At 38.5% G+C, this 19,230-nt stretch overlaps 1 long non-coding RNA gene across 1 annotated transcript; it reads right to left on the bottom strand.

The window, feature by feature from the left end:
* Positions 1–1,555: 1,555 nt before the first annotated feature.
* LOC107984708 (uncharacterized) lies at positions 1,556–18,841 on the bottom strand. The gene is made up of 3 exons (XR_001750768.2): positions 18,272–18,841; positions 11,406–11,529; positions 1,556–2,021 (listed from the first exon to the last, which is right to left on the bottom strand). It is a non-coding gene; the product is annotated as an uncharacterized LOC107984708 (long non-coding RNA).
* Between the last annotated feature and the right edge of the window lie 389 nt (positions 18,842–19,230).

Genomic DNA, 19,230 nt, shown 5'->3' with positions numbered 1-19,230 from the left:
CCCAACTCCCTCAACCATGACCTTTTACAGAAGCAGACATGGAGGGCTTTGATGCCAACTAATATATGCTTCAAAGTGGACAGAAAGAGATACTATGACCTTAAAAAAATAACCTCTTCTGAGGTTGAAATAAATTATAATGATGCCATCTGATCATAACTCAGTGACCTCATTTGAGGAAAGTTTGATGGGCAGATTCTTCTCTGTTCTTTATTAGCAACATCTGTCAAGAGGCTCGCACAGTTTGAGAATAGCTTCTCACACCTGGCTAATTTTTGTATTTTTTAGTAAAGATGGGGTTTCACCATGTTGGCCAGGCTGGTCTTGAACTCCTGACCTTAGATGATCCTCCCACCTCAGCCTCCCAAAGTGCTGGGATTACAGGCATAAGCCACTGCACCTGGCCCCATTTGTTATTTCTGTCTTTTTAACATTTTCTTTTTTTTTTTCCTGAAAGACAAAGGAAAATATTTAAATAGTTCATGTGAGGGGTATTTGAGGGGTATAAAGGGTTTCCAAAAACACAGGCACATTTCCTTCAGGATGCTAGTTATTCTGGGGAGGGGTGGAAAGGAATGGAATTGGAGAGGGTATGAAAGAACTTCAGTTGTATCTGCAACATTTTTTCTTTTAAAAAAAACGCTGAAGCAAATATTACAAAATGACAACATGTTAAAACTAGGTAGTGGCTGTATGAGTGCTCATTATATAATCCTCTCCTGTTTTTTCTCTACTTAGAACATTTAATAGAAAAAGAAATTCAGAAATAAATTACCAAAAAGACAAACAACAAAACTGAAAAGAATATTCAAAATACGTATGAGAAAAGAATCTATTTTCTTAATATATAAAGACAAATAAATGAGGAAAAGATAAATGACCCAACAGAAAAATCAACTAAGGATATGAATAAAAAATTTACATTAAAATAGTTAATGAAGTTATAAAATAGCCTAAATATGTATGTGTCGCTCCATGTATGTCTCCACGTGTATATATATATATGCACTCACTAAACAAATGCAAATCAAGAAAACAATACTGCTTTTCATTATCGTACTGGCAAACTTTTCTGAAGTTTATCAAACACAGTTTTACCAGCACTAGGAAACGTAGCCTCATGTTTCTGAAAAGAGTATAAATTGCTGTAATAATTCTGGAGGCCAAAAATTTTAAGTGCACATTCTCTTTGAGCACTTTCACTTTTAGGATTTTTTTTTCCTTTTATAGCTGCACAAGTGCACAAAGATATACGTATAAAGGTAATGTTTGTCAAAGTAAAAAATTGAGGAAAAACTAAATTTCTATCAAAGGAAGAGATTAAATTGATGATACATCTAATTTATAGAATTGTATGCAACTATAAAGAAAAAGTGGTAGATCTATATGTTGACAAAGGAAGATGCCCATAATACAACATAAGTTTAAAAGAGCAAGTGGTGGAACTATATATTTAATACAATCCTATTTGCATTAAAAGGCATACATTAGATACATGTTTGCAAACATATGTCTGTAAGAAACAGTGATTATCTCTAGGAGATGAAACCGGAGGTTGAGAATAGGAAAGAAATCTTTTATTTCCTCCTAGACTTTTATTACACCAGATCTTTATGCTGCAAATGACAGAAAACTGAAGCCGCCCTAAGAAATGAATGAATTTATTGGCTCAATTTCAATGAATTCTGTGAGTAGTTTCAGGTTCCTCTTGAATCAGAGCTGCCCAATGTCACTAGGATGCTTCTTCTGGGTGTTGAGTTCATCCTTTGCACATGTGAATGATTCTCTCTGGGGGTGTCTGACAGCCTTGGTTACCTTGATGGCTCCACTCAAGTTAGCTATATGGCGACTATTACCAAGCTTTACCACCTTGCAAAGCTCAAAGGCAAGAATGAATGCCTCTCTTTTCCAGAAGTCTTTATTTATTGGCTCTCAGGCATTCATCAGTTCTTACTGGATTATACGACCATTCTTGAATCAATCTTCATCAATGGTAGTGATTGATTTGTGGTCAATTTCACCTAAACCAAATAACAGAATGGAGTCTGGATGGTTTCCCAAAAGAAGGTGGGATGCTATGCAACAAACAACAGATATTCACTGTTGCTAGATAATGCTTTACCAAGTGCATCACACACACACACACACACACACACACACACACACACACACGTTACAGTCTTCTAGGGCCTAGATTCTGAGCTCCATAGGAAGGGACTGTGTCGGTATCATACATTATCCTGTCCTTTGGGCCTAAGTCAGTTCCTGGTACATGATCAGGAGAATACATGTATTAGCAGAAGAAAAACAAAACAACCTACCTTGCAACTTCACTTCTAAGCATTGGCTACAAATTACAAAAAAAATTAGTTATAGAAAAGTATCATCAAGACTATCATCTACAATATCTTCATCCAAAGTAAATAGAAGAGAGGCTGATGCAGTGAGAGAGTTTTTTTTTAAGGAGAAACACTGATGGCTCTTTCAAACATTTGCTTTTTGTTGATATAAATTATTCAATGCATCATGGAGATTCATTACTATGAACTACTGCAATAATGGTTGAACTCAGCAAATTCTTTTTTTTTTTTTTTTTTGAGATGAAGTTTCGCTGTTGTTGCCCAGGCTGGAGCGCAATGGCACAATCTCAGCTCACCGCAACCTCCGCCCCCCGAGTTCAAGCGATTCTTCTACCTCAGCCTCCCAAGTAGCTGGGATTACAGCCATGCGCCACCACACCCTGCTAATTTTGTATTTTAGTAGAGACAGGGTTTCTCCATGTTGGTCAGGCTGGTCTCGAACTCCTGACCTCAGGTGATCTGCCTGCCTCGGCCTCTCAAAGTGCTGGGATTACAGGCATGAGCCACCACACCTGGCCAGCAAATTCATTTACACAATTATTCAGATAGGAACTTAGGGTCAGGCTAATTTACTTAAAGATTTTTCTTCCTTCTCTTCCCTTTCCCTGAGCCTCCTCTGGGTACTCCTTACACTGGGCCACCATGAACTGCTTCTGCTTGTGCAACTTGCCATATAACTAGGGTCACCAGATAAAATACAGGATGCCCAGTAACATGTGAATTTCAGGTAAACAATGATTTGTTTTTTATTATAAGTATGTCTCAGATATTGCATGAGGATATGCTTATACTAGAAACTTGTTCTTTATCTGAAGTTAACATTCAACTCACAACCCTGAATATTTATTAACTGTAGTTCTGTATTTTTATTTGCTAAATCTGGCAACCTTACACATAATTCTAAGGGCCTATGACAATTTTTAGTTGGCTAAAGGGTAATACCACGGACTTTCCAGACTACAAAATACCTGACTGTTGGAATTTTACTTTTAGATCTGCCTCTTTTATACTTAAAGAGCAATTATAAAGTAAGACCCCGTGTAACCACCACTCAAGTTAAGAAATATGTATATTTTTATTTTATTTTATTTTTATTTTTTTTTTTTTGAGACAGAGTCTCACTCTGTCACCCAGGCTGGAGTGCAGTGGCATGATCTCGGCTCACTGCAACCTCCGCCTCCTCAGTTCAAGCGATTCTTCTGCCTCAGCCTCCCAAGTAGCTGGGACTACAGGCATGTACTACCATGCCCAGCTAATTTTTGTATATTTAGTAGAGACGGGGTTTCACCATATTGGCCAGGCTGTTCTCGAACTCCTGACCTTGTGATCCACCTGCCTTGGCCTCCCAAAGTACTGGGATTACAGGCATGAGCCACCGCGCCAGGCCAGAAATATAGCAATAGAAGGACTATGCGAGTACCTTAGAAGCCATCTGTGTTCCTCTCCTCGGATGGCATCATTCTCCTTCCCCTTAAGGGGTAACCACTATCCTGACTTTTATGATAATCATTCTGTCTGGTGTTTCTTTAGGCTTGCCACCTATATATGCATCCATAAACAATATAGTTCATTTTGACTATTTTTGAACTTTATACAAAAGTTTCTATGTAAGTGATCTTTGTGACTTGTTTCTTTCACCCAACACTGTGTTTATAAAACGTGTCCTTTTTTTTTGAGACGTGGTTTCACTCTGTTGCGCAGGCTGGAGTACTGCAGTATGATTACCGCTTACTGCAGCCTCAACCTCCCAGGCTCAAGTGATCCTACTATCTCAACCTGCAGAGTAGCTGGAACCACAGGCACATGCCACCACACCTGGCTAATTTTTTTTTTTTTTTTTAGAGACAGGGTCTCACTAGGTTGCCCAGGGTGGTCTTAAACTCCTGGGCTCAAGCAATCCTCCCACCTCAGCCACCCAAAGTGTTGGGATTACATGCATGGGCTACCGTGCCTGGCAGTTTATCCATGTCAATGCATGCAGCTGTGGTTCTTTAATTCTTCTTTTGTATAAAAATGTTCCAATATGTGATTGTGCCCATAATTTATTCATCCATTGTACTGTTATGCGCTGATGGTACAGTTTTAACTTAAACTGACAATTTTTTAATGTTTTAAATGTATAGAAATGAGCCCAAATAACTATATCATGTGTAAAATGGGAATAATAAAAGAAAAAATAAAATAATAAAATAACTATCATAAAATAGTTTCATACTATGCAGGAAAATTGCTAATATTTAGTACTCTCTAAAATCTGTTGTTATTGTTTTCATTAATAGGGAAAAATTTAAGATGGCTTATATAAAATGGTTCTCATTTATAGTCATTTAATTTTTTTTTTTTTTTTTTTTTTTTTTTTTGAGACAGAGTCTTGCTCTGTCGCCCAGGCTGGACTGCAATGGCATGATCTCGGCTCACTGCAACCTCTGCCTCCCGGGTTCAAGCGATCCTAGTGCCTCAGCCTACTGACTAGCTGGGATTACAGGCACGCGCCACCACGTCCGGCTAATTTTTGTATTTTTAGTGGAGACGGGGTTTCACCATGTTGGCCAGGCTGGTCTCAAACTCCTGACTCAAGTGATCCGCCCGCTTCGGCCTCCCAAAGTGCTGGGATTGCAGGAGTGAACCACTGTGCCCAGCCTAAATTTTTTTATTGTTGTGCAACATACAAATAATAAAATGAACAAATAAAAATACAGCTTTATGAATTTTTACATATACACCTATGTAATCACCACCCAGATAAAAATGTAGAACATTTCCAGCACCCTCTTAAGATGACTGTCTTACGACGCTTTATTTCCTGTTGCTACCTACTAGAAAGCTGACTGCCTACATTTTTGAACACATGTCTAATACTGGGCCGCATGATGTTGGTTTCTGGGCTTTTGGGTGCCACCATATGGTAAGCCTGCTGTACTGCAATTGATTTCCAAAATAAAAAGTAATAATACAGATTCTGATGTGGTTAACAATGAAAACAGAGGACCTAATATTTCTACTAAAAAAGAAAAAGACTTATCTTCCAAAAGGATAATTTAAGATCATGTACATAATGACATTACATGTTTACAGTTAAATTGATTCTATAATTTTCTACTTGTATATTTAGCATATAAAGAAAAAAATGATTGCAGCCTGGCATTGACATGAGAATACTGATAGAGGCAGGAGGCAGAGAACTCTCCTAGGCAGATAGGGGAGGGTCCCTGGAGAACCCCCGACCCGCCAAGCTCATTGTGCACAGAAGGCTTGCCCAAACATGCCCGCAATGAAAAATTCCGTCCCTTAACACATGCGCAGTAAGGAAATAAATCAATGTGGAGTGGCTCAGACTAAGGACCCGCACGCGCACTGGAAAGATGGGGTGGAGCCAACCAAGAATTGATGCCCTATGCAAATAGGGAACCCAGCCCCATCAGCGGATATAGAAGCCCTTGTGTTCAACTATGAAGGAAGACAACCAGCAACCTGCTTTCAGGACCGCTCTTTTTGCTGAGATCATTCCTTTTCGCTTAATAAATTCTATTCCACTCACTCTTTGATGTTCCCGTGCCTAATTTTTCCTGGTCATGAGACAATAACTCGGATCTAGCTGAGCTAAGGAGTAAAAAATCCTACATCAATATGAATTTTATTTAAACACAGGATTTTTGTAAAAGTCATGGTGTTCAAGCCCAGCAGGCCAACTTTAATCTCTGAAATATGGCACAATCCAATGGTAATAAAGGCACAACATATTTCTTAAACATTGGAAAGGTCAATGTTGATTCTTTGTGTAAGACTTTCCCCAAAAAGATATTATTCGGATTCAGTCTTGAAAAAGAGTAAGTGTGTGTAAGGCAACAAGAGGGAGGAATGACTCTTCAAGTAGAATGAACATCATGAGAAAGGTATGGGGAATGGAAACTTGACTTGTCCATAAGCAGACAGAAAGAAGCTCAATGTGGTTAGAACATGGCCAACAGGAGAGTAACTACTAGGAAATAAAGCTTCAGAGGAAGATGGAGTCCAGATTACTACCGGCTTTCCATGAGCTGGAATTTGGGTATCACTCTGAAGGGCAGATAAAAGGGGTCCTTATCTGAAGGGCAGATAAGAAGGAGTTGGTCAAAAGCAATGGTGAAAACTGTTCTTGGTGTCTTTTTTAAAACGTGAAATCACTACTTTGTATCTGTTTAGAATAGACAGTATTGTTGTCTTTTGTAGCACTGGGTACCATCTGTCAGTGTTATTTTCCTTTCTGCTTTGTGAAGAGAATGGGGTAGTTAAATAGCTTCAGAAATCCAGGAGTATCTTATTATTCTGTTTTAGACACAGCTTCAGCACTGGGTTTGCATCTCCATTTATATGTCATGGTCTACTATACAACAGCCTATGTTAATTTTCCTTGCATTTTAGGTTGGCAGATATTTCAAGTATTATTAGCCACTAGCTGTAAAATGTCTTGAGGCTGGTAATGTATAGAAAGCATGAGAATAGGCCTGATGGGCTCGCTCATGCCTGTAGCCCCATCACTCTGGGAGGCCAAGGTAGGTGGATTGCCCGAGCTCAGGAGTTCAAGATCAGCCTGGGCAACATGGCAAAACCCCGAAAAAAATAAAAGGGAGAAAGAAAGGAAGAAAGGAGGAAAGAGAAAGAAAGAAAGAAAGAAAGAAAGAAAGAAAGAAAGAAAGAAAGAAAGAAAGAAAGAAAGAATAAAATTACATGCAACTAGTTTATTCAAATCTTTGAACTTACTGGTATATTTTCATTATAAACTGTATTCTGACTATAAATTACTGTAATTCCCTTTAGAATTATGGCAATCTATAACAGCTACATAACAATAACAATATATCTTAAATTGTACACTGGATTTTTTTTTTTTTTTTTTTGAGACGGAGTCTTGCTGTGTAGCCCAGGCTGGAGTACAGTGGCGCGATCTCAGCTCACTGCAAGCTCTGCCTCCTGGGTTCACACCATTCTCCTGCCTCAGCCTCCCGAGTAGCTGGGACTACAGGCGCCCGCCACCACGCCCACCTAATTTTTTGTATTTTTAGTACAGATGTGGTTTCACCATGTTAGTCAGGATGGTCTCGATCTCCTGATCTCGTGATCCACCCACCTCGGCCTCCCAAAGTGCTGGGATTACAGGCATGAGCCACCGCGCCTGGCTGTATGCTGAAATTTTTTAATGCTCATTGGGGATACATTATTCAAATACGTCTTTCCAGTATTTTACATTTTCAGGATAGGGAAAAAAGAGAACCCAAGCATTGATAGCTTAATGAATATATATATATATATATATATATATATATATTCATTATATATATATATATTCATTATATATATATTCATTATATATATATTCACTATATATATATTATATATATTCATTATATATATTCATTATATATATATTCATTATATATATATTCATTATATATATATTCATTATATATATTCATTATATATATATTCATTATATATATTCATTATATATATATTCATTATATATATTCATTATATATATATTCATTATATATATTCATTATATATATATTCATTATATATATATATTCATTATATATATATATATATTCATTATATATATATATACATATAAATAAATTTTTTTTTCTTTGAGATGGAGTTTCGCTCTTTTGCCCAGGCTGGAGTACAATGGTGCGATGTCAGCTCACTGCAATGTCCACCTCCCCAGTTTAAGCGATTCTTCTGCCTCAGCCTCCCAAGTAGCTGGGACTACAGGTGCATGCCACCACTCCTGGCCAATTTTTTGTATTTTTTTTTTTTTAGTAGAGACAGTGTTTCACCGTGTTAGCCAGGATGGTCTCAATCTCCTGACCTCATGATCCACCCTCTTTGGCCTCCCAAAGTGCTGAGATTACAGATGTGCGCCACCGTGCCCCGCCAGCTTAATGAATACTAAGGAAAATTATAAAAAGGAATAAATGATTTAGTGTGCACATATAATGCATGTTGAAGACCCAGAGAGGGAAGAAATAAATGGATGGGCCACTAAATTAAGTTTTATTCCTATAGATGCAGAGCTTATTATTAAGAATCTCTCATAGGAAAGGTTCTAGGTCAAGCTGCAGTAGACTGTACACACATGATTAATTCTATACCTCCCACGGAAACGTCAAGACAGTTTTTTGTTTGTTGATTTGTTTTGCTGTTTCTCCAAAATTTTATTTTAATTTAAATTACAGGATCAGCCAGATATTCTGGTAAGAAATTCACTTTTCCTCAGGAGAAAGAAAATGCTTTCATGGCATTGTTAACAAATGTATACATCTCCACTTTTTTAAGCGTTAAAAGTCACATTAAATAACCAAGACAATTTTTTTTAAAAGCACAGACACATAACAGTGGAAAACAATTAGAGTATCATCAATATATCAGAAATGTTGATAACTATGTGGAAAGAAAAACACAGATAGGTTTGAATTTCCAGAAAAATCAAAAGAGAAAAAATTGCATCTCAGAACACCAAAGACAAGCCAGGTTCTTTCCAAGAAAGCCTCAGATAAGCTCCAGGTTCAGCATCAGCAAATTCAAAGGGAGAAGTGGGCTATAAGAGAATTGGGGCCTGAGAGAAAAATGAAAGCCAGACTTAGAATAATTGCAGAATCTGGGCCAAAAAAAAAAAGAAAGAAAGAATTAAACTAGAGGCCAGGCACAGTGGCTCACATCCGTAATCCCAGCACTTTGGGAGGCCAAGGCAGGCGGATCACTTGAGGTCAGGAATTCAAGACCAGCCTGGCCAACATGGTGAAACCCTGTCTCTACTAAAAATACAAGAAATTAGCCAGGCATGGTGGTGCGGGCCTGTAGTCCCAGCTACTCAGGAGGCTGAGGCGCAAGAATCGTTTGAATCCGGAGGCAGAGGTTGCAGTGAGCTGAGATTGCGCCACTGCACTCCAGCCTGGGCAACAGAGGGAGACTCCATCTCAAAAAAAAAAAAAAAAAAAAAAAAAAAAAAAAAAAAAAAGAAAGGAAAAAAGAAAAAAGCATTAAACTAGATAGTCACAATGAAGTTATAACATCTATACACCGGCCAGGCGCGGTGGCTCACGCCTGTAATCCCAACACTTTGGGAGGCTGAGGCGGGCGGATCACAACGTCAGGAGATCGAGACCATCCTGGCTAACACGGTGAAACTCCTTCTCTACTAAAAATACAAAAAATTAGGCGGGCGTGGTGGTGGGTGCCTGTAGTCCCAGCTACTCGGGAGGCTGAGGCAGGAGAATGGCGTCAACCCGGGAGGCGGAGCTTGCAGTGAGCTGAGATCGCGCCACTGCACTCTAGCCTGAGCGACAGAGCAAGACTCCGTCTCAAAAAAAAAAAAAAAATCTATACACCAAATAACAGCATCAACACTCAGAGCAAAAACTGTAGGAGTTACAAGGAGAACTAGAAATACCCTAGAGGTAGACTTCAATTAACCCCCCTTAATCAATGTTACAGCAGTGGACAAAAAGTAGGTGAGAATATAGGAAAAAAAAGAGTAATATCTTCAAAGGTCTAAGGAAAAAATTTTTGGAACTCAGCATTATTATTAACTAAGCATGAGGACAAGACAAAGACATTTCGGAAGTAAAAAAAGATACCATTTAAGCTCCCGATATGAAAAAGCATGACTTGAGGAAGTTCTTCAGTGCAAAAGAAGGAATCTAAGGTATCAGGTTATGCGATTATGCTGGCAGCTAAGTAGAACCAGAAACGAAGGAAAGATTTCAGCAGCAAAGTTTTAATGTCATAAGATTAAGTTTCCTTCTAGCTTAGTCCAATCACGATATTTGTTTATAGTGAATAATACTTATGCAATCATATTATCATAAGTGCTATCTACTGATTTTCAATTTCAGGTATAACAATACCCAAAGCTCAGGATATTTAATAATTATATTAAAGAATCGCATGTAAAATCTCAACAAATTCAAGTGTGCAAGAAATACCACCTTATTTTTTATACTTCAACTTAATTTCTGCATCTAGGAAATGTCCTCTTTCTCCCCATACCTCCCTCATAGGTCCTGCTTGATGGGAAATGTAATCACAGACATTCCTGGGGTTACTCTGCCCTCCCTTGGTCTGGTCAATGGCACACAGTTACAAAAGCATCAGAGAAAAGGGAGACCCTCCCATCATGAGTGATCTCTGTACCCAGGTAACAGAGCCTCAACGAATGATTGTTTCCCATGCTGCAAATCTTTGCTCTTTTGGGACTTTTGTGGCCCTATGTGAGGCATGAGAGTCTTAGCTAAGCTTGGGAACCCTGTACTAGGGTCCTTCCTTCCCCAGATATCTAACACATCTAACCCTTCTGAGCCTCCTCCTTGGAGCTCCACCATGGAGCAATGTTTGAATCCTGTATACCTTTTCACCACCACCCACCCTCATGGAATCTCTAGGGGAGAAGCCTCTCCCCACCTCCTGTATCTCCCAGTCACCACGCTGCTTCCCTTCAATCCTGCACTTCTCAGTGAATTTAGTTTTACAGAAAACAAAATCCAGGAAAAATTGCACAGACTAATTCCACTTTCCTCCCTGTCCCATACCTACCTGATATGATAAAATTCAGAGGCTGTTACTTGCTTGAATGGAGAAGTGGAAAGGGAGAAATACAAATATCATAAATATTATTCAGACACATATTAATATAACTAAAAAAATTGAGAAGCAGATGGAAGAGAAGTAGAAAGAAAGTATTTTTATCTTTCATTGTGGTTATTCAATCCATATTAAATTTGATAAATAAAGAATTAAACATTTTAACACATTGTTTAAAGTGAATAAAGCAACATTTAAACATTTAAATACATTGTTTAAAGTGAATAAAGCAACATTTAAACATTTAAATACATTGTTTAAAGTGAATAAAGCCACATACAATGGCTCACATCTGTAATCCCAGCACTTTGGGAGGCTGAGGCAGGATTGCTGGGGCCAGGAGTTTGAGACCAGCCCAGGCAACATAGTAAGACTCTGTCTCTACGAAAAAATTAAAAATTAGCTGGGTGTGGTGGTACGCACCTGTAGTCCCAGCTACTTAGGAGGTTGAGTTGGAAGGATCACTTGAGCCCAGGAGTTTGAAGCTGCAGTGAGCCATGGTTGTGCCACTGCACTTCAGCCTGGGTGACGAAGCAAGACCCTGTCTCTGAAAAAAAAAAAGAAGAAGAAGAAGAAGAAAAATATAAACTACAAATAAGCCCAGAGGTGGAGGGGTAGGTAGGTCATGATAAATTCTTAATCTTTCATAGTAGAAAATCAATAGATTTTGCGTAAACTTGATAAATCTTGAAGTAGGTAAGTATGGTTAAACTAAAAGCAGAAACTTAGCAGGGGTGATTTCTGGGAAGTGAATTAAGGATTGGGGAGGAGATAGTTGAGCAGAGGAGGGAGATTTTATTTTTCACTTCAAGTTTTTTATCCTTATCTTGATATTATGCAAATGTAATACTTTTCTAACAACAGTTAGTTTAATTAAAAATAAATAACACTACCTCCTTTTCAACACACTACCTCATAAATATTTATAAGATATAGTTAATAAACATTTCATGTTAAAATATGCCCACGGGCAGTAGATCTTGGCTTTCGTGAAACAGAGTAGCAAACATAAGAAGCCATGTTTGCTTGCCAGCATAATTTTGCAGTCACCCTGACTCTGTTAAAAATGCAGCTCTCCAAAGAATGCCTTAAAGATGATAAATGGGATACAGCACATAGCTCCCCAGTCTCTTGCCTGAGATACTACACTCCTTAAAAGATAAATGACCTTGGTCCTTGCCTTTTCTGACACATAAGACAAAGCCTGCCAAGGTGTTGCAAGATTATGCCCCTGCAAACTGGAACCAAAGGTACTCTTGCATTCAAGCTTTACTGCAATTTTTTTTACACTGTATTTTTACTGCTTGTATAAAAACTGAACTGAAGTGCTGCATTGGAGTAGTATGACAGACATTCTCTAGGAAACTCTCCCGGGTTATAATCCTCAGTGAGACTTCTGAATAAAACTGACTGTAACTCTTTAAAGGTCTGATTTGTCTTAATTTTACAATTTTAAAATTTACTATTAAATTCCTTTCCATAATGTAAGCATCTGCTAAAATGTTCACATTTTAAATAAATCCTTAACTTTATACAGATGAACAAGTAATTTACCCAAGAAGAAACACTTGGAAAATAACTAGAAGGAAACAGTAACAAAAAATAACTAGTGACAAAGCAACATATATATTATTTTGTCACTCTTTTTTTTTTTTTTTTTTTTGAGACAGGGCCTCACTCTGTCATTCATGCTGGATCACTGCAGCCTCAATCTCCTGGGCTCAAGTGATTCTCCCTCCAGCAAAACTGGCTAAATTTTAATTTTCATAGAGATGGGGTCTCACTACATTGCCCAGACTGGTCTTGAACTCCTGGGCTCAAGTGATCCTCCTGCCTCAGCCTCCCAAGGTTCTGTGATTACAAGTATGAGCCACTGTACCTGGCCTGATGAAGCAATAGTAACGAGCACGATTTTTTTCAGAAAATGAAATTATTCAAACCTTTCATTATCAGAATCACAAAAATAATCATGTCATTTGATCTAGTAAAACTATTTTTAGGAATATATTCCAGGCTGGGCACAGTGGTTCATACCTATAATCCCAGCATTTTTGGATGTCAAGGTGGGAAGATCACTTGAGCCCAGGAGTTTGAGACCAGTCTGGGCAACATAGTGAGACCCCATCTCTATAGAATTTTTTTTTTTAATTAGCCAGGAGTGGTGGCACTTGCCCATGGTCTCCGCTACTCAGGAGGGCTGAGGTGGGAGGATCACTTGAGCCCAGAGGTTTGAGGCTGCAGTGAGCTATGATTGCACCACTGCACTCAGCCCAGATAAGAGAGTGAGACCCTGTCTTGAAAATAATAACAATAATATATTCCAACATTTTGCTAAAATAAATCACAGTTCCTATATGTAATCTCTATTAATGTATATTACATGTAATCTAAACTTTATGTAGCAAATTTGCGTAAATCATAAATCTTGAATAAAAGAATGTATAAGATACTATAATCATTAATCACATAGGCCTAGCAGACTTATGGCAGGATAAATTTCATCCCTAGCTCTCATTCTTCTCCCTTGTAAAATATTTACTTATCCATTGAATACTAGTTATGTTCCAGAGAAATGTATCTTCAGTTATCTATATTAGATACCAAACTTCCATCTGTAATATTAACTGTGCTCTCTCATTTCCCCACTCCGTTGGTGTTCTTTTTTATCTTTCTTTTGTGCAAATGTTTCCCTCTTTTTTTTTTTTTGAGACAGAGAGTCTCACTCTGTTGCCCAGGCTGGAGTGCAGTGGCATGATCTCAGCTCACTGCAATCTCTGCCTCCTGGGTTCAAGTGATTCTCCTGCCTCAGCCTCTGGAGTAGCTGAGATTACAGGCGTGTGCCAACACACCTAATTTTTGTGTTTTTTGTAGAGACGGGTTTTCACCATGTTGGCCAGGATGGTCTCAAACTCCTGACCTCAAGTGATCCTCCCACCTCAGCCTCTCAAATGCTGGGATTACAGGCATGAGCCACCACGTCTGGCCATTTTTCTTATTTTATATAAATTTATATATAGCTTGAATTTTTCTATTTTGTTGTCAATGATTTTCTTTAATGTTTTTATAATTTCTAAATTATCTGATTCCTTATTACTCAGTAATTCCCCATCTGGGGTTCTCTCTTGAAAAATGATCAGAAACTTGGACACCCTGAAAGGGATCACAGTTAGGTGGAGATGGTAGTGGTGAGGAGGGAAGTGGGGATTCACTTTCTAACGTATACATTTTGCATTGTTTGCCAGGTGTTTTTACTTCTTTCCGTTTTTAAAAATTGTTTGGTTTTTTGTTGTTATTTTTTGTTTGTTTGTTTTTTGAGACAGGGTCTCACTCCCATCACCTAGGCTGGAATGCAGTGGCTTGATCACAGCTCACTGCAGCCTCAACTTTCTGACTCAAGTGATCCTCCCACCTCAGCCTCCTGAGTAGCTGGGACTACAGGTGCATGCCACCATGTCTGGCTAAGTTTTGTATTTTTTGTAGAGAGAGGATTTTGCCATGTTGCCAGGCTGGCCTCGAACTCCGAGGCTCAAGCAATCCTCCCGCCTTGGCCTCCCAAACTGCGGGATTATAGGTGTAACCCACCATGCCCAGCCTAAAAATAGTTTTTTAAAAAATTACAGTACTCCCCTCCCTCATTATAAAGACTTTAAAAATGAGGAAATACTTTAGTGATATAAAAAAGCAGCCTCAACAAAAATCAACATTTTAAAGTATGTTAATTAGAGGATTATTTATAATAGGAAAATGTAAAATAGCTAACAAAAAGAGATTGATTTGTAATATATAATATGTTTAAAACAACAAATTGGACAGATGTTAAAGAAAATGATGTTAACAAAATATTTTTTTAATAACTGGAAAATGTAACATTTAATTCGTTCATTGAGGACTTATAATTAGATTCAGCTATTTGCAGTCATTTTTAAGCTATTATTTATTGTACAAAAACCATTATTAGAACACAAAGTAGAAATTAAAATACAAGAAAGGTTCATACAGTTGTGTCACATCACACGGTAAGTTCCAGGCTTTGTCAGCACGTGCACATAACTTTTAAATAATTGTCATTTAACAACTTTGTGCTTACATATTTTCAGAGGTGTTTTAGGAGGTGTGAGCTTAAATTTTAGAGATTTTCAATTAAGAAGTGTTTTTAATCATATTATGTGAGTTTACAGCATCATAAAAATATTTGTCACTATGTAAAACATCTACATAATAAAAATATCAATCAGCATATTTATTGCATTTCTGCTATGCTTTCTCAGATGGTTCCTAAGGGAAGAATTATTAACAGCCTTTGATGATTGGTGGAAGAAAGCAGCAATAAATGGATGAATAAAGAAAACTTTGGATGAGTTCTACTTTGTTAAAATCTCAAAAGGAACATGTAGTGGGGAAAAAGGCTGATTCAAAGCAATGGCTCACAATGTTGTGAATTAAGTGAAATCTTATCCATGTTTTAAGCAAGTGGTACTGATTAGGAAACATCTTTTTTTTTTTTTTTTTTTGAGACAGGATCTCGCTTTATCACCCAGGCTGGAGTGCAGTGGTGCAATCATGGCTCTCTCCACCCTCAACCTCCTGGGCTCAAGCCATCCTCCCACTTCAGCCTCCTGAGTGGCTGGGACTATAGATGCACACCGACATGCCTGACTAAGTTTTTTGCACTTTTTTTGGTAGAGACGAGGTTTTGCCATGTTGCCCAGACTGGTCTTGAACTCCTGACTCAAGCAGTCTGCTGCCTTGAGCTCCCAAAGTGCCGGGATTATAGGCATGAGCCACCACACCTGATGGGAAACATGTTTTGTTTTCTTCATAGACTCCACCAGTTTATAGTTGTGATCAATTACATTAAAATTTTTCATTCATACTAATTGTGTGTGTGTGTTTGTTTGTGTGTGTGTGTGTGTGTGTGTGTGTGTGTAGAGAGATGGCATTTTGCCATGTTGCCTGGGCTGGTCTTGAACCCCTGAGCTCAAGTGATCCTCCTGCCTTGGCCTCCCAAAGTGCTAGGATTACAGGGATGCACCACTGTGCCCGGCCATTCTTACTAATTGTTGACAGCAAAACTTCTTGCTCTTTATTTTTCAACATTTTAATTAAAATGCATATAGTTTCTTTTCTTTTTCTTTCTTTCTTTCTTCTTTTTTTTTCTCTTTCTACTCTCCTGTTAACTCACAAAACAACGTAGAGTTTCTACTGGTAATAATTCAAGGACATTGTTGTTATTGTTGTTGTTGAAAATCTTTATTTTCCAGATGAGGAAACCAAAGCTCAGGAAAGATTAAGTCACCTGCCCAAGGCCACATAGATTAAAACGTGGCAAGATTGGTATTTGAACCAGTCTGTGGGGCCCAAGCCCACACCCTCTCCACACTAATTTTCACAACAATCTGATAAAGTAGATGTTGATATGATCTCCACCTTACAGATGAAGTTTGAGAACAAGATTTGAGCAGCTCCACGACTATAGCTCAGGGTGGACAAACTAAAACTCCACTCTCAACCTTTATGTTATCAGTATTTCTTGAATGAATGAATGAATGATTCCTTTTGCTCCTTTTGTAACCAAAAGACAGACTCAGTCACTCACCACTTGCTGAGTCCAATTAAGAGTGAGGCCTGTTATAAAGAAAGTGACCTTTGTTCCAAAGCTAGCTTAGTGGAAGAAGTACAGGCTCTTGCTTTTAAGGGTACCGCTTTGCTTTTGGAGCAGAAAGCCGCACTTTTTTTTTTTTTTTTGAGATGGAGTCTCGCTTTTGTCACCCAGGCTGGAGTGCAATGGCACGATCTCGGCTCACGGCACCCTCCGCTGCCCGGGTTCAAGCAGTTCTCCTGTCTCCGCCTCCCGAGTAGCTGGGACTATAGGTGCCCACTACCACGCCCAGCTAATTATTGTATTTTTAGTAGAGATGGGGTTTCACCATATTAGTCAGGCTGGTCTCAAACTCCTGACGTCAGGTGATCTGCCTGCTTTGGCCTCCCAAAGTGCTGTGATTACAGGCGTGAGCCACTGCCCCCGGCCGGAAGCAGGCACTTTTAAAGGGGGACTTGGCATGAATGGCATGCAGAGAGGAAAATGCAGATGGGAATCTGCATAGCTTGATTTGGTGCCTCCACTGCTGTGGGCAGTGGAGCTGGTGCCTTTTGTGGGCAGAACTAGGTTGTAAAATGGCTGAAACTCTCCAGGTGGGAGAGAGTTTCATAGTAGGCATACTTTGGATTGTAGATTGACTGTTGTCTCTTGAGGGAATCTCCTGGTGGGAGTTCTGCTCTGAAGCTTCTAAGGACGTAGTTAGATGACCTTGCCCTGTAGGGAGCATCTGGTGCAGGGGAGGTAAAAAATTATAATTACATGTATAAAGAGCTATGTAGGAAGTGGAGCACAGGGGAAAAGAAGGAAACAGAAAAAAATAATTAAAAAATAACTCATTTTGTATCTCTTAGCAAATGGGGGTACTCAGTTATACTTTTGGCTCCAACTTCAAGATTTTAAGACAAGTACCAATTTTACTCCATTTCAGTATGTTTACAGATAGAACCCATCAGATGAAGACCACCAGGAACACACTTGTAGTTAATGTTTGGTTTGTTTATTTGCTGTCCTGGGGTTTCTGGGCAAGAGAGACTTGGGAGAGGCTTATCATGGGGTTTGGGCTTGTGCCGAATGATTCTGACGAGGGACGGGGAGAAGTAGGGGTCAGCTCTGGAATGGTGCTGTCATGAAGCAGGGGCAGTTTAGCAATTGAGAGTTCTCAATAATCTTTGTTCTGGAGCTGACAGGAACAAAGCAGAACTGGGGATGTCACTGGTAAAAGAGCAGTAATCACTCAAAAGGAGAGGGGCTGTATAGCCCAAGAAGAAACATTCTTTACATGGCCTTGGCCTCCTCTCATTAGAAACATTTTTTTTTTTAGGTTCTGTTAGGAACATGCTAGCCTGATTGCCTGTTTCCTTGGAAATTACAGTTTAAAAACCTTTTATCTGAAGCTCTGGGTTGGAAATTGAGGCAACTCTCCTATGTCAAAGTGACCCATATGGCTCAGATCTTTCAAGTAGGAGTGAGATATTTCATTCTCATTGATAAAATTTCAAACAGCAAAGTTTCTCATAAATTATGATGTTTTCCAATGGAAATGTAATGTGAACCATCCACGTAATTTAAATGTTTCTAATAGACACATTAAAAAGTAAATAGAAACAGGTGAAATTAATTTTAGTAATACATTTTAACTCAATATATTCCCAATATTCAACATGAAATCAATATGAAAATATTAACTTACTTTCTTAATTATTTTTTTTTTTGGTACCAAGTCTCAGATATCCAGTATACAGCTGGGCACAGTGGCTCATGCTTGTAATCCCAGCACTTTGGGAAGCTGAAGCAGGAGGATCAAGGCTAGGAGTTCGAGACCAGCCTGCGCAACATAGTATGACCTTGTCTCTAAAAAAAGAAAAAAAGAAAAAGAAAAAAAAAATAAATCCAGTATAGCAGATATCAATTTGGGCTTTAGATTTTCATTGGAAATACTTGCTTTGTATTTAGAAAATTTGCAGTTGAAAAAGTGAATTTACAGTTGGAAAGGTAGATTTACATACTCCAGTTGTTCCAACATATTCAAGAGTTTTCCAATAACTGAATTTAAAACACATACCAGTTTTATATTTAAATTTAAATGACAGCTGACCCTCAAATAACATGGGTTTGAACTGCCCCATCCCCTTATACATGGATTGTCTTCTGCTTTGGCACCTCTGGACAGCAAGACCAATCCCTCCTCTTCAGCCTACTCAATGTGAAGATGAAAAGGATGAAGATCTTTACGATGACCCACTTTCACTTAATGAATAGTAAACATATTTTCTTAATAACATTTTCTTTCTCTAGCTTACTTAACTGCAAGAATATAGCAAATAATACCTGTAACAGGGGAGGCTAAGGCAGCATGATCGGTTGAGCCCAGGAGATTAAGGCTGCAGCAAGCTATGATCACATCACTGCATTGCAGCCTGGGCTATGGAGCGAGACTCTGTCTTTAAAATAAATAAATAAGTAAACAAATAAAACATAGGAAATATGTGTCAATTCACTGTTTATCAGTAAGGCTTCTGGTCAACAGTAGGCTATTAGTAGTTAAGTTTTAGGGAAGTCACTAGTTATACTCGAATTTTCTACTGCCTGAAACACACCTCATCTTCGTGTGGTTCAAGGTCAACTGTACTGAAAGTAAAATGTAAAATT

The sequence above is a fragment of the Homo sapiens genome, chromosome 14, assembly GCF_000001405.40.
Source record: "Homo sapiens chromosome 14, GRCh38.p14 Primary Assembly".
Classification (NCBI taxonomy): Eukaryota; Metazoa; Chordata; class Mammalia; order Primates; family Hominidae; genus Homo; species Homo sapiens.
This window is presented reverse-complemented; position numbering and strand designations above follow the sequence as displayed.